The sequence below is a fragment of the Homo sapiens genome, chromosome 12 (genome assembly GCF_000001405.40).
Source record: "Homo sapiens chromosome 12, GRCh38.p14 Primary Assembly".
NCBI classification, from domain to species: domain Eukaryota; kingdom Metazoa; phylum Chordata; class Mammalia; order Primates; family Hominidae; genus Homo; species Homo sapiens.
Genome location: NC_000012.12, coordinates 55428771 through 55453728, shown reverse-complemented (window position 1 = coordinate 55453728; position 24958 = coordinate 55428771). Strand labels below are relative to the sequence as shown.

The 24958-nt window shown below is 34.8% G+C and overlaps 1 protein-coding gene and 1 long non-coding RNA gene across 2 annotated transcripts; one reads left to right on the top strand and one right to left on the bottom strand.

Annotated features, from left to right (window-relative positions):
* Window positions 1–381: 381 nt before the first annotated feature.
* OR6C2 (olfactory receptor family 6 subfamily C member 2) lies at window positions 382–9653 on the bottom strand. Its single transcript, NM_054105.2, has 2 exons — window positions 9570–9653; window positions 382–2402 (listed from the first exon to the last, which is right to left on the bottom strand). The coding sequence occupies exon 2, from the start codon at window positions 1513–1515 to the stop codon at window positions 577–579; it is 939 nt and encodes a 312-aa protein (NP_473446.1). The 5' UTR covers window positions 1516–2402; window positions 9570–9653; the 3' UTR covers window positions 382–576.
* LOC124902940 (uncharacterized) lies at window positions 1156–18995 on the top strand. Its single transcript, XR_007063324.1, has 2 exons — window positions 1156–1243; window positions 18598–18995. It is a non-coding gene; the product is annotated as an uncharacterized LOC124902940 (long non-coding RNA).
* The last annotated feature ends 5963 nt before the right edge of the window (window positions 18996–24958 follow it).

Here is a 24958-nt window from a genome sequence, read left to right as displayed (position 1 = left end):
TAAAGCAATAGCTAATATGTCTTGCCAGAGATTTTGAAGGTGTTTCCATTTCTTCAAATAGGATTAATTTTAACTCCTGTTGATGTCTTCTTTCCCAGTTATCCTGATAGACCTGGAATACCTTATTTGATTTAATTTATTTTTAATATATGTCTCTCATTGCTTTCTATTTTTTGTTTTGATTCTTAGATTTACAATATTAATTTTGATAATTTTGTATTAGAGAAAGAATTTTTATTACTACATAAATTAACTTGTAGATAATGTATACACTGATAAGTATTCTTACTTTTTTCTTCCCTAGAGAAATGAAGAAAAGACTAGATCAGAAGTGGAGAAAACCTTGATTTTTGGAAATGTAATTTTTAGTTTCACAATGAGGGAAAACACAATGTATGACCTTGGTTCGAAATAATAAGGATTTTGATAAAGATGGGATTAGGATGCAATATTAAATGTCATTGAGAAGGTTCACATGACTAAACTGTAGTCAGGAAGCAATGAAATAAGTTAAAAGCTGTAGGATGACATTTAGGGAGCCTTCTTCATTCACTTTATGCCAATTCATCACAGCTTCTACTTCTTTGAGAGAAATGCAATCCTCTTTATAGAGTCACTGAAAGCTTGTTTCACTTGCTTGTTCCTCAAGGTGTAAATGAAGGGGTTCAACAAGGGTGCGACAGAAGTAGTAAGAACTGAAACTCCTTTATTTATGGCCACCTCATCTTTTGCAGAGGGCTTGATATAGATGAAGATGCAGCTTCCATAGGCAATGGAAACCACAATCATGTGGGATGAACAGGTAGAAAAGGCCTTTTTCCTTTGCTGAACAGAAGGGAACTTCAGAATTGTTCTGACTATGTACAAGTAGGACAGAATCACACAAACTAGGGTGATAATGAGTGCAAATACAGCCATAAGTATAACCATCTGTTCTATTACCCATGTATCTGAGCATGAGATCTTTAGGAGAGGACCTGCATCACAGCTAAAATGATCAATGGCATTGGAGTCACAGAATTCGAGCTGGAGGCCTAAGCTAAGTGGTGGAACAATGATCATCAAGCCAGCCACCCAACAGCAGAGAACTAATAAGGTACACACCCTGTTGTTCATGATGACCACATAATGAAGGGGTTTACAGATGGCCACATAGCGGTCATAGGACATGGCTGCCAAGAGAAAAAATTCTGTTGCTCCAAAGAGAATAACAAAGAATATTTGACTGGCACAAGCATTGTAGGTAATGGTATTGTCCCCCATTGATATATTGTACAAGAATCTGGGAATGCAGACTGTAGTAAATGAGACTTCTAAGAAGGAAAAATTTCTGAGAAAGAAGTACATAGGAGTTTTAAGGTGGTGGTCCACCAATGTGAGGGTGATAATAGTCAGGTTCCCTGTTACACTCAACATGTAGGTGAGAAATAGAAAGATAAAAAGCAGAACTTGCAGGTGTGGGTCACCTGTCAGTCCCAGCAGGATAAAAGTTCTTATTACTGTGTGGTTTTTCATCACTGTTCTTTGATATCTACCCAATCCTCCTTTAAAAATCACGGTTTATGAGGGGGTAGATATTTGAATTCTATAGCAAAAGGATATGCATCTAGAAGCCAAGCTGACCAGCCTACTTTTATTTTCTCCCTTTATAGAATAATCAATGTTGCCAGTGTTCCAATAACCTTTCTAAATTTCACATATATGAGCAGTGGATATCTCCTTAAGAAATCAAGTTTTGTAAAACAATCCAACTTTTTCTTTGATCATTCCTTATCCATCAGAATTTACAAATGCAGTTGATTGTAGTTTGTTACATGGAATGGATTTACAAATGGGTTAGAAAGAAATGATGTCATTTTATAGGTACTTAAACATTTTTTGTCCAGGACAAACTCTGAATATAGGATATATCCAGGTAATTAATAACATTAATTCTCTTCAGTTGTTATCATCTGAGGATTGTATTAAGATTAAATTACATTTTTCCTGAAAAACAAACAAACAACAATGACAACAGAATACAACCGTTGTCCCTGAGCCTTTCCCCGGTCTTTTTATTCTTCTCTGCTGGCATTCCTTATTCTCAACCCTCTAGTACCTGTAGATGGGTTGATGTACAATTATTTTATCTATAATGTGAGAAAAAGTTGTGTTCAAGGTTTTTACAAAATGAATATTCTCATAGGCTTTCATTTGATGTTCAGTTGTGATTCCTTTCCTTTCAAGCTCCAGAAGCAAATCTACATTTAACACCACTAAATATAGTCTTCTAGGCTGCGTCTTTTTCAATATATCTTTAGGTCCTTTAGAAAGACATCGTATGTTCTCACTTATTCGTGACATCTGAAAATCAAATCAGTTGAACTCATAGACATAGAGAGTAGAAGGATGTTTACCAGAGGCTGGGAAGTATAGTGGGGGGTTCGGGGGTAGGTGGGAATGGTTAATAGGTACAAAAAAATAGAAAGGATAATTACTATTTGATAGCACAATAGGGACACTATAGTCAATAATAACTTAATTGTATATTTTAAAATAACAAATAATATAACTGAATTATTTGTAACTCAAAGGATAAATGCTTGAGGGGATGGACAACTCATTCTCCATGATGTCTTATTTAATATTACCTCCCTGTATCTAAATATTTCATGTGGCCTATAAATACATACATTTGCTATGTACGCATAAAATTAAAAAAAATTTAAAAAGACATTAACGTCTCCTCATCTCACCCCTACTCAATTTATGCTTTAACCCTCTGTGTCCTCACTTTCACCTCCACCCCCTGAAGAATCTGCAAAGACTTCATTACTGTTGAAGCTAAGGGCACATTTAGGTTTTTAATCCTGCCTGTAATTGCTATAGTATTTTTGTTTTAAAGTTCAATAATTCTTTCAATGGGCTTCATGTCTAATACTGATATTCTTTCTATATCTGTCTTTTTATTGTTTCTCTTTTTAGTCTCCTCTTTCTCCATCTGTGAAATATTGGTATTCTCAATAATCTTCAGACCTCCTGCTTCTTGTTTTCTGTTTGTTACTCTTCTTACCCTCTACTCTTCAAGGGTGATTTGATGATCATGTATGTGATGTAGCCAAAGATCAGGTAAAAAGCATTGCTAAGTATACATCACAAGTTGGGTGTTCCACAGACACCTCACATACCACATGCTCTAAGTCAAGTCATGCTCCTTCTTTGAGATTTCTGTTCCACTGGTGTTACCTATTGCTTGTTACAGGTTAATCACTTTCATGTGGACTGCCAGGCTCTTCATGGGCAGGACCTTCCTTGATTTTCCCATCTCATCACTTACCATTTTCTTACCTTTCTTCTTCATAGCTCAAGTTGCCTTAGCATTGACTACTTGCAATTCTTCAATTTTCTACATGCTCTTGTCTGCACAGGCTAATCTTTTGACTGACTGGTGCATACATATTGATTCTTCAAGGAAATGTTCATTTACCCACACAGTGAATGTGAAACTATGCTCCTGTGTCTTTTCCCAAGTACTTATGTACTTGGTTTGGATTATATCACATTGTATTATACTCTTCACTATACTTGTATTTCTCCCGTATGTTTCTGTAAACTTCTTTAGAGACAATATTTTATATATCCTTATTTTCTCTTATATCTGGCCTATGTAGGGTTCTTGGTAAGTTTAGTGAAGAAATAAAACAGATTTGTCTACATAGTGACAGTAAGCTATATTTTTAATGCTTATTCCTGTCAGTTGGTTCAAAGTTCTTATTTTCATACCTGTTTCAAACTGCACTATCATTTTTAGTACATTCTTAGACAAAAGGCCAGACTATTTTCAATTCAAAGTTCTGCAAATGCTATTTTGCTAATACATTTTCCAGAGTTTTTTTTTGCTCTCTGAACTATTTCTTTCTTTACCTTGATATTATAATTCCTTACATGCTATTGTTATCTGCTTGGTTGTTTATAGTAATCTCTTTCCTGACCTTTTCCTTCCTAAGAACTTAGAATTTTTTTTTCCTTTTTTCCAGAATTTGATTCTCATATATCATTTTCTAGAGACTAGAATTGTTTTACTCTCTGTTTTCCTCTTTTTTTAAAGGCCAAAACCACCTACTATGTGTCTAAAGATTCATTTCTTTTCTAAGAGAGACTTCGGATTCTCTTATGGAAAAATCAGGTGGAATTCATACAGATTATATGCATGGATATACCCAAGAAGTTCAAAGATATCCTAATACTCTTAGGATCAGTGGATCTTTAGGGTCACTCAAAAGTAAACACTATGAATAGGAGCTTTGTTCTTTCTCTGTTACATCTTTTACTGCTGTGGAGACTCTGCTTGACACATAGCATGTGTTCAACAATTTTTCAATGAGTTAATGTACCTTTTATACAACTGTATCTGTATTTTTATCTCTTAAAAAGCAGAGTTTTAAAAGTTTTTTTGAAAAACCCATTTTTAAAAAGTATTTTAAAGTTTAGACAATATTAAGCTAAAAGGCTTATACTGCAATGTCAAGAAGATTAGAATTGCTGCTATGCTTATGATTATTACCAAGGTAGAATTTTCTTTTTTGTTTAAATAATTTGCTTTCTTATTTATATCCTAAAGTCTGTTTCTTTCATACCAACACTCCTAGTACATTTGCTGATTAATACAACCTGAATGTATTAGTGAAATAGTCTTTTTATTTGCATAATTCTAGTTCCACCCATCTCTTTCTACACATATTAGAAGGTTCATTTAGTTGCCCAATTTTCTGTGCTATAATAGAACCAACCTCAGTGAGGAGTGTTTTTAGAGAAACAAAAATACTTAGCATAAAGAAATATGAACAAACCTACTTCTTGTAATAGAAAAATAATGTCATTACATTTCCATAGCCTGGAATAATCATGGAGTTTAAAACACTGTATTATTCAGCTTTTCTTTGCCTGGTCAGAACCCCTCCCTCTTTTTCCAGTACATCAGTCCACCTAAAATACTACAGCATTCTAAATTTCTTATGACCCAACACTTTTGAGTTAAGGAAAACAACGCTACAATAGCAGTATATTTCTTTTTTCTTTTCTTTTCTTTCTTTTTTTTTTTTTTTTGCAGTGAATGGAAGCCAGATACAGGATAAGGTAAAAGATATGTGGGTAGGAAAAGTTTAGTTTTAGGTCTTTTTTTTTTTTTTTAATCCTGTCTTTTTTGGTGATTCTATTACCCCTCAGGAGGGGTAATCATGGTTAAGTTTCTTTGCTATGTTGGAATTCTCAGGAGTTTGGAACCAGGTATAGTGAAAAAATAACTGTGACTACTCAGCTAACAGTTTTTAAATTTTTTTCTATAATTAAATTAATTAATTTCTAATTAATGTTATACAAATTCACTCATCCTTATATTTTCAAAATGAACAGATAAATGGTAGTAATTTGGAGAATGCTGGGGAATTTAGAACACAACTTATGAAATGGGAGAAAATATTTACAGACCATATATCTGATAAGGGCTTAATCTCCAAAATACATAAAAAATTCCTACAATTCAATAGCATAAAAAAGACAATGCAATTTAAAAACAGGCAAAAGAGTTGAATAGAAATTTCTCCAAAGAAGACTTATGAGTGGCCAAAAGGTATATAAAAAGATGCTTAATATCATCAATTATCAGGGAAATGCATATCAAACTACAATGAGATATCACCTCACACATATAAGGATGGCTATTAAAAAACAAGAAAAACAAAACAAAAGGTAACTTTGGGCAAGTACATAGAGAAATAGAAACGCTTGTACACTCTGGTTAGAAATGTAAAATGGTGTAGCCACCATAGAAAATAGTATGAAACTTTCCTCAAAAAATTTAAAATATAACTACTATATGATCCAGTAATCCCACCTGTTGGTATATATGCAAAATTATAGAAATAAGGAGTTTAAAGAACTAACTTTACTCTTAAATATTGAGCATTATTCACAATAACCAAGATATGGAAACAACCCAAATGTCCATCAACAGATGAATGGATAAAGAAAATGTGGAATATATAATACAATAATGGAATGTTGTTCAGCTTTAAAAAGAAGAAAATCATGTGATTTGTGACCACACAGATGAACCTACAAGAGGTTATACTAAGTGAAATGATCCAGTTACAGAAGGACAAATACTGCATGATTATACTTATATATGGCATGTAAAATAGTCAAATTCACAGAAGCGGAGAGTTAGAATCTTGGTTGCCAAGGGTTGAAGTGATGGGAAAATGGGGAGTTGTTGTTCAATAGTTATAAAGTTTCAGTTATGCAGGATGAGTAAGTTCTAGAGATCTGCTGAACAACATGGTGCCTATAGTTAACAAACCTTATTGTGCACTGGAAAGGCTTAAGAGAATAGATATCATGTTAAGTGTTTATGTAAAAAAAAAAAAACCCAAAAACTAAAAAGAATCCAAGAAAACTAACTTAAGACTCACAGAAACTTTGGAGGAGTGATGGATATGTTTATCACCTTGATTGTGGTGATGGTTTCATGGTTGTGTGCAAGTGCAGTTTTTAGTATAGATTATACCTCAATAAAACTGTTAAAACGTATATAGTGAGGACCATGAGACTATCTAAATGAATCGTAACTTCTGTAAGTATTAACAGGCTGCAGCACATTCTGCAGAATAGCATTCAGCCCTAGACTCACTGGTCTAAGTTCCTTGTGAATAGACTAGGCTATCGGTGAATTGCATCTACAGGTGTAAGTTCAACAATACGGTTTGGAGAGGAGATAGAATACTTGTTCTGACGGTCTTAAAGACAAAATTTACCTATTTAATTATTGGACCTATGGTTTGCCCTTTTCTACTTTTCACCTTCTCACACGATCCTTTACCTGAACTTTGAGTTTAACCAGCCTCTCATCTCTTTTTCTCTTCAGAAATGCAATGGCACTTTTAATTTTTTTTTCAGTCTTTATATTGTATTGACTAAGAGTGAATATATCTTCCTCTTTTTCAGAAGACAAGTTGTGACAAGTGTATTTTGCCTCCACAGCTTTTGTTCTCCACACTCAACTTTCTAAATTCCCAACCTCTTTTTGCCTGATTCCCTGAGGTATACTGGCTGTGTGCATTTATTGCATGGAGTTCTCCACTCTTCTCAAGGAATTAAGCAGCTCTGGATCCTTCTCTCTCTTTGCTTTCCTGTCAGAGCACATCCACTAAATTCTGTGTTAGGATATGCTTCCACCTAGCTGTTGGAAAATATGATGCAAGCCATGCACAAGGCGAGGCTCTGTATTTTGAAACTCATTTAATTTACACTAAAATTACCACTGGCCGGGCGCGGTGGCTCATGACTGTAATCCCAGCAATTTGGGAGGCCAAGGCGGGCATTCAAGACCAGCCTGACCAACATGGAGAAGGCCCATCTCTACTAAAAATACAAAATTAGCCGGGTGTGGTGGCACATGCCTGTAATCCCAGCTACTCGGAAGGCTGAGGCAGGAGAATTGCTTGAACCTGGGAGGTGGAGGTTGCGATGAGCCAAGATCTCGCCATTGCACTCCAGCCTCGGCAACAAGAGCGAAACTCCGTCTCACGAAAGAAAGAAAGAAAGAAAGGAAGGAAGGAAGGAAGGAAAGAAGGAAAGAAGGAAATTACTACTGTAGTGTTTATCCAATGCTTTACTTTATTCTTCCAGAAATACTTGCATTTGACTAGGTTATTTAGTGTGTATAATTCTCTGAATTAGAAATATCAAAGACATTTGTCACAAGTATAGTTTTCTGGGACACAGAGCTAATACGTTTTAGCCAGGAAATAGGCAAATGAGGTTAGGCCCTAGTGGATAAATTAGAAATTAGAATAGCTGTGGTATAATTACCAAGAGTTTCATATGCACATCAATATTTGAGAACCACCTAGGCAATTAAGGAAGTTTGTTGCCCGCCCTTGACATCATCATCTAAGCTGCCTATCAGTGTTGTCCCTTATGCCATCAGCAATCACCTAATTTATATATTTATAATTTCAGGCACAAATGAAGGATGACTAAAATACTAACTGGCTTCTTTAATTTGCATTATGGGTCTTATTTTGTTCATGTCATCTCTGACCATTATGACATTCTTCAGCAAGAGGAAATGAGTTTATTTCTGTTCATGGAGCAATAACTGCTTCCAGTCCTTAGCCTGCATTAATTATTTATAATGGTAGCTACAAACATATGTCTTATCTGACAACACAGTCTCTAGGGTTCTTGCTATTTCTCCATCACTCAATGAAATTGTATCTCCTTATAAGATACCAATTAGTTTGTTATATGAATGCTTTTTCACCTGCTTTGCGTATAAAAAATTACTGCAAATATCATCAGTCTTCTGGGCCTGGGAAAATGAATTCCTTACTCTTATGGACATGTGCTTCATAAAATCCCATGTGATACATATGGCAAGGCCCATCTTGCTTTAAAGGTACCATTACAGGAAAATACATACTTATGCAGAAAGCCTAATACAAATCTGTTAAGAGAGATGGTACGAATCTGGCATAATGAGAATGAAGATGCTAACAGAGCATACTGGCCAGTAAGACACAGTCAGCTTGTCACATATGCTTACTTCTTAGTACTTCTTAGTGAAACTCTCAAGGTTTTTCAAGAAATCCATAAAACTAAAACTGTTGCCTTTGATTACCTTACTGCCCCCAAAACTGGTCTCTTTGCGAAACTCTCACACTATTCATCATCTTATTCCAGGAAAGAAAAACAGTTCCTTGTTTTCAAATATTCTGAGGTTTTTCATGTTGCCTCAATCCTCTTTCATGCAAATACCATTTTTGACTTTGTTAGATAAAGTCAATGTATTCTAAGTTTTGCTTTTATACAAGCAAAGTAGTGTACTAGTAATTTACTATGCCTTTTTCTTTGATTTTGGTTTAAGAACTAATTTTCTCCCAACTACTTCAGGGTCATGAAAAGTGCAATAAGCAGCATAAACTATGAAGTAACTGAGAATTGACATCCTTTCTGTCATCTTCGTTTTCATGCCTCTCCCTTTGAACACACACTAGGAAAAAGCTATCTTAGTGAAATAGTCTTCTACGCCTTGATCGTCTTGTGCAGTGCAGTGCATCATGAGCAACAACACAAAGGTCTCTCGGTCTTAGTGTCACTTAGACATTAAGGGAGCATTTTTGTTGAACTAATAAATATGAGGGATTGAATTATTTCTGGCCAGACATTTAACCATAAGAGAATATTTACAATTTAGAAAAAAGCTAACATTATAAGCAATGTAATATAAGCAATGTAATATGCTTTTTTGTATATATTCCAAGGATTTGGAAGCATATTTCTGTGTGTCCTTTATATTTTATGGGTGACCACAAACTACTGCATGTGTGACTACACAGGAATGCATAAATATGTCCTAGCTATGATGTTTAGTCTTGTCAAAGATCTGTTAATAGTTTAAAAACATGTTCGCTACAGTTTTCCATATTAAAAATTTGAAACAAGCTTAAACTAGCAAAATTACAGAAGAGTACTCCAACAAAAATTTCTTTCTCTTATCTCTCAAATGAGAAAGTAATTGTCATACCTACCTTAAAATACTTACTGTTTTGATAATTTTTCACGATTTCAGGTGGCAGCTCCCTAATGGGTTGAACTGTGTTGTGTTAAGGAAGTTGTAACTTTGTACTGGTTTAACTTGATCATCAACCTTCAGGTACTTCCTGAAGGATCTTGAGGTCTCCTAGTTTTGCATTTTCACGCTACAATAAACACTCTTTTTAGAAACTTCCTTATTTTACACTTTGGAAATATTTTCCTTGGACTCTGTCATAATGGTAAGAAATTTTGATGTAAGGGAGGAAAGCAACAGATTTCCTCTGATTTCAGAAGAGCAGAGAGTTAGCTTTTCTATCCCCAAAATATTTATTTTTTCTGCTCTATCTCTTGGAAGTGCACTGGGATCATATGAATAAATAGAGGATCCTTAGTGGCCAGGTTCAAACATCACTAATGAAGCTTCTGTGTAATTAACTTTGGCAAAGCAACTAAAATAGGAGGCAACAGAGACACTTTCTTTTGAGAGAGTAATGCAGAACAATAGCATCAGATAGAGGCCTGGTGCCCATGCTAATGAGAAAAATAATGCACAAGTCTGATTCTATTTCCTAATACACTTTTATAAGGATATGAGTATGTCTGTTTTTTAATAATCAAAATATTTTGCTTAATCTAATCCCCCATAATATAATTTGGTGAAGTATCTACCATATATGGAAATCAGTGTGGATGAAAGTTACTATGTATACAGAGATATTGTAAAATCAGTTCATATTGTGTTAATCATAGGATAACTTATTTACATTTGAAAAACAGAAGAAATTACATAGGTCAGATATATTATTTATTCTGTCTACAGACAATGTCTTGTAAGACCATCATTACATGGATGACCTTCAAAAACAGTTCACACCATTAAGAACCACTGTTTCAATGCATTCCAGCTTTGTAATGTTTGTTTCTGGGATTTTTAAATAAGCGTATTTAAAAGTAACATCTCAAACTGACTGTGAATGCTTTAAAAGTGCACAAAATTAGGTTTGGAGGGCTGGCCAGAAGTATTGCTTAAGGTTAAATAACAAAGAGATATGAAAGTCATAGCCTCTATGTAAATTTTTATCAATAAGATTTTATTGTTTCTTTTGTGTATGTTATGCTTCCATCATTAGATTCATTGTCAAGTATTTGTGTAGTTCTATGTTATTTTCAATTATATATAATATATAGTTATATAATATTTACATATTATTTATACATAGCATATTTTTGATATAATGATATTAGAAATTCATTTAATTTTGCAGATTACCATTGCTCCATCAACATTGTTAAACTTAATTATACTATTAAAATTGTCTATAGAATATGTTGAATGTTTTTATGTACACTTCGTAGATTTTTTAATGATTATTCAGGGCCCCTCCATTTAAAAGAAATTTATTTCTTGACCTGTAGACTTCCTTTGAAGTGAAAATATAGCAGCAACAGCCTAGGTTATGCTGCAGTAGTGAAAATTTTAGTAAAGTCATCACCTGAGATAATCTGAAAGGTAGATATATACCAAAAGCATCTGTGGCTTTATGAATGGGAATTTGGAATTAACCTGTTTGCTATAAAGAAACTGATAAAAGAATTGGCCTATTTGGCACTTGGTATGAATGGGAATAGAGAAGATCCACAAACAACTGGGAATTAGATTTGAAGATCCAACCATATCTCACCTCCCCAAGTTAAAAATAAAATTTAGTCATTCTTTGAGGTATATTAAAACCATCTCACAGCAAGAACATGCCAGTGATGTTGCTACCACATTATTTGTTTCAGCCTCTGAATCTATTAACTCAATATCTTAACATTAAGTATGTAATTTCTGTTGGGTGTGGGACTTTTTCAGAAGGACATAGCTCTGCCTTAAAAATCTCTTAAGTTTAAAGTATCTGTAATTAAGTGTAAATAGGCACTTAAAAATAATAATGAGTGAGATTATTGATATATACAAGTAAGAATCCAGCATGTTAAAAGAGGATCATGTTTTTGAGTGGTTAGCCTGGGTAGGAGAGATTGAATGTAAATCAATTTTCTGCTCCACAGTCTGTAGACAAAAAGAAAAAGAAAAAAGAAGGCTAAGAAATAAACTTAGTCCCAAGGGAGTTTTATTTTTCTTTAATGTTTGTTGAGGGAAGTCAGGGACCCTGAATGGAGGGACAAGCTGAAGCTATGGCAGAAGAACATAAATTTTGAAGATTTCATGGACATTTATTAGTTCCCCAAATTAATACTTTTATAATTTCTTTTGCCTGTCTTTACTGCAATCTCCGAACATAAATTGTGAAGATTTCATGGACATTTATCACTTCCCCAATCAATATTCTTGTGATTTCCTATGCCTGTCTTTACTTCAATCTCTTAATCCCGTCATCTTCATAAACTGAGGATGTGTGTCACCTCAGGACCCTGTGATGATTGTGTTAACTGCAAAATTGTTCATAAGCATTTATGTTTAAACAATATGAAATCTGGGCACCTTGAAAAAAGAACAGGATAACAGTGATGTTCAGGGAACAAGGGAGATAACCGTTAGGTCTGGCTGCTTGAGAGCCGGGTGGAACAGAGCCATATTTCTCTTCTTTCAAAAGCAAATAGGAGAAATATCACTGAACTCCCCTTTCTCAGCAAGAAACAGCCCTGAGAAAGAGAATGCATTCCCAGGGGTAGGTCTCTAAAATGGCCGCTCTGGGAACATCTGTCTTTCACAGTTGCAGATAAGGGATGAAATAAGCCCCGGTCTCCAGTAGTGCTCCCAGGCCTATTAGGACAAGGAAATTCCCACCTAGTAAATTTTTAGTCAGACTGGTTGTCTGCTCTCAAACCCTGTCTCCTGATAAGATGTTATCAATGACAATGCATGCCCGAAACTTCAATAGCAATTTTAATTTTGCCCTGGTCCTGTGATCTCACCCTGCCTCCATTTGCCTTCTGATATTTTATTACCTTGTGAAGCATGTGATCTCTGTGACCCACACCCTATTTGTACACTCCCTCCCCTTTGAAAATCACTAATAAAAACTTGCTGGTTTTGCAGCTCAAGGGGCATCACGGAACCTGCCGACATGTGATGTCTCCCCCAGATACCCAGCTTTAAAATTTCTCTCTTTTGTACTCTTTCCCTTTATTTCTCAGACCGGCTGACACTTAGGGAAATAGAAAAGAACCTATCTGAGATAACGTTGAATTATCGGAGGGGGGGTTCCCCCAATAAATGTTCTTTAAAATTTCTTTAGAACGTTTTTGGATATGGCAAAGTAAAAAAGAAAAGCAGATACCTCTCAGATTGTGACTCAAGAGCCATGAAATAAAAGTGGCTGGGTCTTATTCTCAAGGAACGTAACTGGGAACCAGTCAAGAGGCTTCCCACAGCTACAGAGTAAGAGGCCCCTGCATTGCCTATCAAGTTCTATTTTAGACTTGGTATTGACAGTGTTTGCTGTGTATTCCCAATTCCTATCCTCTCTGAATGATAGTGTTTCTTAGATTGTTTTTTTCCTGTTCCTCTAGTAATTGTAAGGTGTGTGCATTAGACAAATCAACTGTCTGAATTTAGAGAAGGCAGTTGTGGCTCTAAAGTATAGAAATTGCCATTAGATCCTGGAAGTTGAGCACAATGGCTGACTTGATGTGACCTTTGGACTGTCTCCCTGAGAGAGGGATAAATATGTTTTGCATGCAGCAAAGAGGGAAGTGAATATTTGTGACCAACAGGGTTAAATGTGGTAGAATATCTCATCATTCTTAAATATTCACTGTTCTTCCCTGTGAGAATTCAATTTTCTCAAATCATTGTCATTACCTTCTGTAATCTGAGTTAATTTTACCCAAGAATCACCAGGTGGTTTTACCCATACTCTCTCCACTCTGTGATGAAAAGGGCATGTCTGAGATAAGGGTTCCTTTTATCCTTGGGACCCAGGAGGAAAAATATGTGGAGAAGAGTACAATCAACATGTAAAATAAGTGTAAATAAGCTTTTCATAATTTTTAAAATTCATTTTAATTTTAAATATTTTTACACTTCTCCAGATATTATACTTAATCTGATGATCAATATTCATTTTTACTTACCAACATATGAATCCTTATTTATTCAATTCCTCAGTTCTTCCTTCATCTTTTAATTTTCATGTCTTTTTTTGTGGTTCAGTTGATAAAGAATTCTCTTGGATTTTGCTGATCTGAAATGCTTCATTTAACTTTACTTATCTTCAATTTTTTTCAATAAATCTGTTGAACTTATTTCTCCTATCTAACTTAAATTTTATATCCTTTAACCAACATCTCTTCAAACTCCTCGTATTTTCCAAGTCCCTAGTAAATGCCATTGTACTCTCTATTTCCATCAGCTCCACTTTTTAAATATTCCACATATTGGTAAAATTATGCCATATTTATCTTTCTGTGCCTGAGCTATTTCACTTAACCTAATGTCCTCCAGGTTTACCTACATTGTTACAAACGACAGCATTTTCTTCTTTTTCAAGGATAATTAGTACTTCACTGTGTGTGTATATATATTTATATATATATATCATGTTTTCTTTATCTAATCATTTGTTTATAGACACATGTTGATTCTATATTTTGACTATTGTGAATAATGCTACAATGATCATTTTAATTACAAAATATTTGGGATATTTTTTTTGATACTCTGTGAGTATGCTATATAAACTTTCACCCATTCACTTTAACATTCATCTGTAAATCTTACTTGGAGCAATGATTATGGTGGTGTGCTAATGCTGATTTATCATTTTCCTCATTCCTTCTACATTTACTAATTGAAATTCTGTGAGGAAGAGCTTGCCACTTCTTCCTAACTGATTATTTACTTACTTGCTTGTGTCAGTGTAGACTCATCAATATTCATTTTATTCTGGGGATTATAATCCAATCCAATCAAGATGTTTAACTGGCTATTGGGAGCATTTTTAGGTGGAGTGCTGTGACCTTTCAATATGCTATCATCTTTTGGAATTTTTAGACCATCCTTATTTTCTGAAACCAAAAGTTGCTTCAGACTTACCTTGAATTCTCTATACCTCATTCCTAAAATATACCAGTTTTACAAGGAGAAGTAATTCCATTTATTAGAGAAGGAACGGCAAGGGAAAACCCAATGCCTGAGTGCTAGGTGCATCCATTGTCACTGAGGTGTCACTGCTTTTTCCCCTTCAAGGTAGTTAGAGATAGGAGATATATATATATATATATATATATATATATATATATATATATATTCAATATATATAGTCATGCACTGCTTAACAAAGGTGATACACTCTGAGAAATGCTTCATTAGGTGATTTTGCCATTGTGCACACATCATGGGGTATACTTATACAAACTTAGATGGTATAGCCTACTTCACAGCTAGGCTATATGGCATAGCCTATTGCTCCTAGGCTACAAACCTGTGTAGCATGCTACTGTATGGCAATTATAACACAGTGGTGTTTGTGTATCTAAACATAGAAAAAGTATAGTGAAAATATGGTATAACAGATAAATATGGTACACCTGTATAGGGCATTTACCATGAATGGAGCTTGCAGGACTGGAAGTCACCCTGGGTGAGTCAGTGAGTGGGTGGTGAGTGAATGTGAAGGCCTAGGACATTACTGTATGCTACTGTAGACTTTATAAATGCCTCCACTTAGGGCACACTACATTTATTTTAATATTTTTCTTTCTCCAATAATCAATTAAGCTTAGCTTACTATAACTTTTTAACCATATACCCTTTTCATTTTTTAAAACTTTTTGACTCTCTTATAATAATACTTAGCTTAAAATACATACACAATGTATAGATGTACAAAAACATTGTCTTTATATCATTATTCTATAAGCTTTTTTCTACTTTTAAAATTTTTATCTTTTTTTTACTTTTTAAACTTTTTTAGCCTAGGTGTACATAGGGTCAGAATGATCAGTTTCACTGTTTTCCAACTCCGTATCTTGTCCCAGTGGGAGGTTTTCAGGAGCAATAACATGCCTAGGAGTTGTCATCTCTTAGGGTAACAATGCCTTCTTCTGGAATACGTACCAAAGGATCTGCCTGAGGCTGCTTTATAATTAACTTTTTTAATAAATAGAGGGAGCATATTCTAAAATAACAAAATTATAATATAGCAAATGCATAAACCAGTAACATAGCCAATTATTATTATTTTAAAATATTATGTACTGTAGATAATTGTATGTGCTATACTTTTATAAGACTGGCAGTGTAATAGATTTGTTTACACCGGCAACACCACAAACAAATGAGTAATGTGTTGTGCTATGACATTATGACAGTTATGATGTCAACAGGTGATAGAAATTTTTCTGCTCCATTAAAATTATATGGGACCACTGTTACATATGTGGTTCATTGTTGACTGTACCATCGTTGTGTGGCACATGATTGTGTGCTAATTCATGCATAAAGACACATCTATATTTATTCCTATATTTACTGATTATAAATTAAAACAAGTGAAACAAATCAAGAGTCCATCATGATACCTCTGACTACAATCACAGAATTTATTGTAATTATTATCTTTCTTTAATTGTAACTTCTTTCTTCAACATAGAAATACTGACTTCTATTATGACAATATATCTAAATATTTATTTAAATCTTGTACAACAATTAGTTTCATAATTCTTAACCCATGTTACAAGTCTACAAACTACATTGCTTACAGCTATTTTTGTAAAAAAGAAATCCACTCAAACCCTGTTTTCCAATTCATTATTGTTGAATGAATCATTTTTTTGTTGTTGCTGAGTAATATGTCAATATATGTATGTACCACAGTTTGTTTATCCATTCCTCAGTTGAGGAACATATATATTGTTTCCATTTTTGCTGATTATAAATAAAGCTGCCATAAAGATTCACATACATGTTTCTGAGGTATCAAGAGCCCTGCTGAGCTGAAGAGAGAGTTGAGCTGCCGGATATTAGAGTGGTTGGTAAAAGCAACCAGCCTAAATGGAAAGTAACAGTCAAGTTTGAAATCAATCACTGCAAATAGTATACGAAAGGCTAAAATCAGAGAAAATGTGGACTCCTGCCTGTTCCATTTTCTACCATGAAATGACACAGCATTGAGTGTCAGGTAGAACAACACAGACACAGGGTTCCCCTTACTACCATGGGATCACCCAACAAAAATCTCTTGCAGTTGTATGGAAGCAAGGGGCCATGGGAAGGAGAGAGTGGCAGGGCTAGGAATGTAAAAGTGCTGAGTACTGAATCCGAGTGGAGAAAAGTGTCTTCAGGTTTTCCCAAGAAGGAGGCCTGCAAGTGGAGGCACCTGGGCTGGAATTAAAGATAAATGTAACAGCATATTTGGCCAGGATGATCTGAGTCCTTTACTGTTATTTCCTTCAAAGACTGTAATGCATAACAGTGTATCATTTGATATGGGAAGGGCAGCTTGCTCCTGTGAACCCTGCTAGGGAAAGCCTTTGTAATTTCCTATAGTAGAGGCTGATAAATCACACATTTTTTTTTGAACAGTATCAAGATCAAGAGCCAGACTCCTGAGAATTAACATAATTTTTCATTTCTTTTGGATAGGAGTAGAATTGCTAGTTCATATGATATGTGTAAATTTAACTTTCTGTGAGTCTTCCAAATGGTTTCCCAAGTGGTTGTACCATTTTATATTCTCACTAGAAAAGTATGAGGCTCCCAGTGGCTCTATAGCTTTGCAAACATTTGATATTGCCAGTATTTTTGTTGTGAATATTCAAATAGATATGCAGGTTTTAATTGCATTTCCCTAATAATTCATGACATAGAGCATCTTTTCATATACATATTTGCAATCTATAAATCTTCTATGGTGAAGTCTCTATGCAAATATTATGCACAGGTTTTATTGTGTTGCTCGTTTTTTTATTCTAAGGTTAGAGTGTTCTTTACATATTCTAGAGACAAGTGTGCTCTCAAGAGTGTGATTTGAAAACATTTACTCCCAGTCTTTAGTTAATCATTTTATTCTTAACAGTGTTGTTTTAAGAACTTTAAAACAATGAATAAAACGAATTTCAACTTACCAGACTTTCTTCCTGTGGATTATGACTTTGGTCAAGCACAAAAACTTCTTGAAAAACCAAGGTCATTCAGATTGTTTCCTATGTTTTCTTCTAGAGTTTTATAGTTTTACATTTTACCTTTGGCTCTATATTTTACTTAGGGGTCACATTTTATATAAGGCTTGGGGTAAATGTTGAGATTTATTTCTTTACATATGGAGATACAATTGTTATATAACTATTTATTAAAAAAATCCTTCTTGATTAAATTGCCTTTGTACCTTTGTTAGACATCATTTCATGTATGTCTATTCTGTTTAAATTGATATATGCCTTTATTTTTTTTTACTAGTACTGCACTATCTTGATTATTGTAGCTTTATAGCAGATTTTGAAATGAAGTATTATGAGTACTCATACTTTATTCTTTTTCAAAATTGTTTTGACTAACATATTTCTGTTGCCTTTAGACATCGAATTTAGGTTTAAGCTGTTAATATCTACAAATACACTAAGATTTTGGTTGGGATTACAAGAATCTATAGATTAAGATAGGAACAATTGGCTTATTAAAATAGTCTTCTATTCAGAAACATAGTATATCGCTTCATTTTTCAAAGGTCATATGATTTTGTTCCAATGGTTGTATTTTTAAGCCTATACATTCCTTACAAATTTTCTTAGATTTATACCTAAGTATTTCATTTTTGAGGACAGTAAATGGTACTGTTTATTTTGGATTTCAACTACTTATTGCTACTATAAATATACACATTTAGTTTTATAAATTAACTTTCTGCCTTACAAAATTGCTAATTTCATTTATTAAGCCTAGAATTTTTTTTTTTTTTTTTGGTCATGAGATCATTTATTTTCTAGGTTTAAGCAAGATACAATTGGGGGATATGCAAATTAATGGCTTACTGTGAAGCCATTAGAATTAACACTTTTATTTTTCTTAATCAGGGATTCTGTGCTGCGGAGATCATTACGGAAGCAACAGTAGCAGGTGGCCTGGCCATACAGGGATTCCTTACTCGCAGCAGAGAATGTTGCTGCCACTCAAAGTCACCAGGGGCTGAAGAGCTCCTGTGGAGACCCACATCATCTAACAACACACATACTCAAAACAGGGAAATGTGCATTTTCGGGAGAGGAAGAGACAAACCTTTTGTTTAGCTAACTGGCATGACAGAGTGTGACATACATGTGCTCCTGGAAGAACGGTGTTGGGTGTCTGCACTCAAAATCTTGAGCATAGGCAACTGGATGAAGGGCTCTGTGGCATTGATTTTCATTGTGTGTGTGTTAATATTTACATTTATAATTAAATAAATAATCGAAATTATGCTGAACTGAAAAAAGATTGTGAGGTTTAATGGGACTGTGTGTGTGTTTCTGTGTGTGTGTGTGTGTGTGTGTGTGATTATTACTAAAGAAAAGGTCTCAAGGTGATTACACTGTTCAGATAAGGATAAATATAGTGTCCCCAGCCCCACCCTCCAAAATGTAATTCTTTTTTTAAAATTTTTTAATTTTATTATTATTATACTTTAAGTTTTAGGGTACACATGCACAATGTGCAGGTTAGTTACATATGTATACATGTGCCATGCTGGTGCGCTGCACCCATTAACTCATCATTTAGCATTAGGTAGGTCTCCTAAAGCTATCCCTCTCCCCTCACCCCACCCCACAACAGTCCCCAGTGTGTGATGTTCCCCTTCCTGTGTCCATGTGTTCTCATTGTTCAATTCCCATCTATGAGTGAGAATATGCGGCATTTGGTTTTTTGTCCTTGTGATAGTTTACTGAGAATGATGATTTCCAATTTCATCCATGTCCCTACAAAGGACATGAACTCATCATTTTTTATGGCTGCATAGTATTCCATGGTGTATATGTGCCACATTTTCTTAATCCAGTCTATCATTGTTGGACATTTGGGTTGGTTCCAAGTCTTTGCTATTGGGAATAGTGCCGCAATAAACATACGTGTGCATGTGTCTTTATAGCAGCATGATTTATAGTCCTTTGGGTATATACCCAGTAATGGGATGGCTGGCTCAAATGGTATTTCTAGTTCTAGATCCCTGAGGAATTGCCACACTGACTTCCACAATGGTTGAACTAGTTTACAGTCCCACCAACAGTGTAGAAGTGTTCCTATTTCTCCAATCCTCTCCAGCACCTGTTGTTTCCTGACTTTTTAATGATTGCCATTCTAACTGGTGTGAGATGGTATCTCATTGTGGTTTTGATTTGCATTTCTCTGATGGCCAGTGATGGTGAGCATTTTTTCATGTGTTTTTTGGCTGCATAAATGTCTTCTTTTGAGAAGTGTCTGTTCATGTCCTTTGCCCACTTTTTGATGGGTTGTTTGTTTTGTTCTTGTAAATTTGTTTGAGTTCATTGTAGATTCTGGATATTAGCCCTTTGTCAGATGAGTAGGTTGCAAAAATTTTCTCCTGTTTTGTAGGTTGCCTGTTCAGGCTGATGGTAGTTTCTTTTGCTGTGCAGAAACTCTTTAGTTTAATGAGATCCCATTTGTCAATGTTGGCTTTTGTTGCCATTGCTTTTGGTGTTTTAGACATGAAGTCCTTGCCCATGCCTATGTCCTGAATGGTAATGCCTAGGTTTTCTTCTAGGGTTTTTATGGTTTTAGGTCTAATGTTTAAGTCTTTAATCCATCTTGAATTAATTTTTGTATAAGGTGTAAGGAAGGGATCCAGTTTCAGCTTTCTCCATATGGCTAGCCAGTTTTCCCAGCACCATTTATTAAATAGGGAATCCTTTCCCCATTGCTTGTTTTTCTCAGATTTGTCAAAGATCAGACAGTTGTAGATATGCGGTGCTATTTCTGAGGGCTCTGTTCTGTTCCATTGATCTATATCTCTGTTTTGGTACCAGTACCATGCTGTTTTGGTTACTGTAGCCTTGTAGTATAGTTTGAAGTCAGGTAGCATGATGCCTCCAGCTTTGTTCTTTTGGCTTAGGATTGACTTGGTGATGCGGGCTCTGTTTTGGTTCCATATGAACTTTAAAGTAGTTTTTTCCAATTCTGTGAAGAAAGTCATTGGTAGCTTGATGGGGATGGCATTGGATCTATAAATTACCTTGGGCAGTATGGCCATTTTCACGATATTGATTCTTCCTACCCATGAGGATGGAATGTTCTTCCATTTGTTTGTATCCTCTTTTATTTCATTGAGCAGTGGTTTGTAGTTCTCTTTGAAGAGGTCCTTCACGTCCATTGTAAGTTGGATTCCTAAGTATTTTATTCTCTTTGAAGCAATTGTGAATGGGAGTTAACTCATGATTTGGCTCTCTGTTTGTCTGTTATTGGTGTTTAAGAATGCTTGTGATTTTTGCACATTGATTTTATATCCTGAGACTTTGCTGAAGTTGCTTATCAGCTGAAGGAGATTTTGGGCTGAGACAATGGGGTTTTCTAGATATACAATCATGTCATCTGCAAACAGGGACAATTTGACTTCCTCTTTTCCTAATTGAATACCCTTTACTTCCTTCTCCTGCCTAATTGCCCTGGCCAGAACTTCCAACACTATGTTGAATATGAGTGGTGAGAGAGGGCATCCTTGTCTTGTGCCCGTTTTCAAAGGGAATGCTTCCAGTTTTTGCCCATTCAGTATGATATTGGCTGTGGGTTTGTCATAGATAGCTCTTATTATTTTGAGATACATCCCATCAATACCTAATTTATTGAGAGTTTTTAGCATGAAGTGTTGTTGAATTTTGTCAAAGGCCTTTTCTGCATCTATTGAGATAATCATGTGGTTTTTGTCTTTGGTTCTGTTTATATGCTGGATTACATTTATTGATTTGTGTCTATTGAACCAGCCTTGCATCCCAGGGATGAAGGCCACTTGATCATGGTGGATAAGCTTTTTGATGTGCTGCTGGATTCGGTTTGCCAGTATTTTATTGAGGATTTTTGCATCAATGTTCATCAAGGATATTGGTCTAAAATTCTCTTTTTTGTTTGTGTAAGCCTAGAAAATTTTTGAAGTTTCTGCCTTTCCAGCAGGTAAGGTTTGACCTTAGAAATATTCTCATTGGATTTGGACTATCAAAAAAAGGAGAAGCCAGTGTTATTTGGCAGCAGTTTCTGGCAGCAAGTAAGAGTCAGCAGTGAGTCAATATGCGATTTGACCAGTGGCTTCTGGGCACCCTGAGAATTGTGAGCCTCATTGCTGAAGATACCCATGATCATTGATCTTGGGTATTTTCTGTCGTTATAACACAATCTCATTGGTACAGCGATCAGTAAGATGATGTGAGAAACATGTGAAAGTAGAACAAATGAAATTTAATGAAAATTTGAGGTAAGAAGAGGAAAAGAAGCAGTAAGAGATGAACCCTGGGCTTATGGTTTGGCAAATTAGGTAACTCAGCAAATAAATGATTAGATGGAAAGCAAGTTTGACTGCAGGAAAAAGACAAATCTTTCAGTTTTTGAAGCTTGATTTTTATGAGCAGTCAGATATCCACAGAGAAATGTAGCTGGGGCACAGGCAAAAAAACAAAAATAGACAAATGGAACTTAATTAAACCAAAAAAAAAATTGTGCACAGCAAAGTAATAACAGAGTGAAAAGACAACCTACAGAATGGGAAAAAATATTTGCAAACTATGCATCTGACAAAGGACAAATATCCAGGTTTTATAAGAAACTCAAAATAACTCAATGATAACAACAATACAGGTAATTCCATTAAAAGTGGAAAAGGACATGAATAGGCATTTTTCAAAAGAAGCCATATGAATGGCCAACAAGTATATGAAAAAATGCTTAACATTACTAATCATCAGAGAAATGCAAATTAAAACTGCAATGAGATATCCTCTTATACCAGTCAGAATGGCTATTACTAAGATGATAAAAAATAACATATGTTGGCAAGGATGTGGAGAAAAGGGAACTCTTACAAAGATTGATGGGAATGTAAATTAGTGCAGCCTCTATGGAAAATCCTATGAAGATTTCTCAAAGAACAAAAATAAACTACCCTTTGATCCAGCAATACCCTACTAGTGAAGAGGAAAGAAAGAAAAGAAATCATTGAAAAGGAAAGAAGGAAAAGAAGTCACTAATAATTTAAAGAAATCATTAAAATCATTAATTATTAAATCATTTAAATAAATAATTAAATAAAAAAGATATGTACCTGTACTCATATGCTCATCACAGTACTATTCACAAAAGCAGAAGTATAAAATTAAACAAAATGGATGGAACTGGAGGCCATTATCTTAAGTGAAACAAGTCAGACAGAAAAAGACAAGTACTGCATGTTCTCACTTATAAGTAGGAACCAAATAATGTGCATACATGGATGTAGAGTGTGGAATAATAGACAATGGTGACTTGGAAGGCTGATGAGGTGCGAGGGGTGGATGATGAGAAGTTACTTAATGGGAACAATGCATGTTATTTGGGTGATACCCTAAGAGCCCTGACTTCATCACTACACAATCTACACATGTGACAAAATTACGCTTATACCCTATAAACTTATACAAATAAAAAAGAATAAAATAAAATAAAAGTCCATGGAATATTTGCTTTGGCAGTTCTAGATATGCCATAATATCATTTATGGAGATTGTGCTATAAGCTGTAGAAAGGACAGCTTGTCAGGCAATCTCCATAAATGATATTATGACTAAGATAATGTTATTTTATGTGATATTGTTTAGCAAGGATGGGTTTTTTTTGTTGTTGTTTTGGAGAGTAGGCTTATTTGAGGTTATTTTGGGGTTAAGATCCAAAAGGAAAAAAAAAAGACTTTGGTTATGATACCCACTACTCAAGCCACGTCTTCATGGTGAAAATGAGAAAATCAGATAGTTAGGCCTTGGGCACATGATAAAAGTAGGTTAGACATAAATTTAAAAGCCATCGTCTCAGAATATAGTATTAAACTCTGAGATACAATTTTAAAAGGCAGGGTGTATACAGAATGACAGCATAAAAATATTGTCAATGGCTTAGTTACAGAAGAAAAATGTGTAATGGGTAAATTTGGGAAAGCATGTCCTAAACAAAAGGAGAAGACATGCAGTTTTTAAAATCCAGGGTGGAAGAGTGCAAGAAAAAAGGGAGACTATATAATAAAATAATAACAAATATCTATTGAGTTCCTGAAACAAACTGTTTAAAGGACTTAATTTACTCTCAACGAGTTTTAAAAATTCTATGAGTTATGGAGTGTTAACCCAATTTGACAGTTAATAAAGCCAAGTAACTGAGAGGTTAAACTTGCTGCACATCAATTAAGGAGAGTTAGCTACTTCATTAATACAAAATAAAATCCCTCGAATCAGAATTTAGCAGTATTAAAGTACAATCCAGTAAGAAAAACATTTGGTTTGGGTCATGTGGACTTATCACAGGTGCTTTCGTGGAAAGGAATGATTTGTCATGTATTTTCACACCTAGTTAAAAAAAGTAAACAAACACAATGAAAAATGAACTATGATAATTATTTCCTACATCATCCTACTGTGCAAAGAATCTCAGCTGCTCTAGTATGCAGATGCCAAGAATGTGGCTTCCTACATAGGGAACATGAAAATTCCAGCCACTAGTAACCATTTTTAAGTTATAATGTTTAGTTACGTATAAAGCATAATGGAAATAAACATTATGCTTTATATATTTAACTCTCTTTTGACTATAATTGGTAGGAATCCAAGATAAAATATGACACTTGGACAAGGCATAAGGTCAATCCTTTACTATCATAAATTTACTCAGGGGATGCCAGTTTTTGAAGAGTTTTGAATGCATTATCATTTGCCCTTTACCTTGTAAGTGTCTGTATCTGCAGGTAGCCATGCTTTCTACACAGCCAAATTGGCCAAATAGATTTGACTGATTTAGGTTTGAATGGCATTTTCTTTACTCAAGAATTATTTTGCTCTTACTTTCAAGCAGGAATAGCTACCAGCCCCCAACTGCACCTCTCAAAGAACAATGTGACCCAGGTAGGCCATGTAAATAACATTAACTACAATAACAATGACAATAATAATATAGTTAACATTACTAAGCACTTTAAGGATGTCAAAGTCTCAAGCTTGCAAACCACAGAGTCAGACTTACAAACCCAAACAACCTAACTCTACCATGCATAAACTAACCAGCACACTTTGGCTGAGAATCATGTAGCTGATCCTCTTGGATCAAAGAAATGTCAGTTACTAACACCTACTCAAAGATGGGTCAATCAACTCTTTTCAACTGACACTTCTTTTGGAGTTGGTCCCAGGGAGTCTGTTTTCATTGTTTCATGAATTGAAA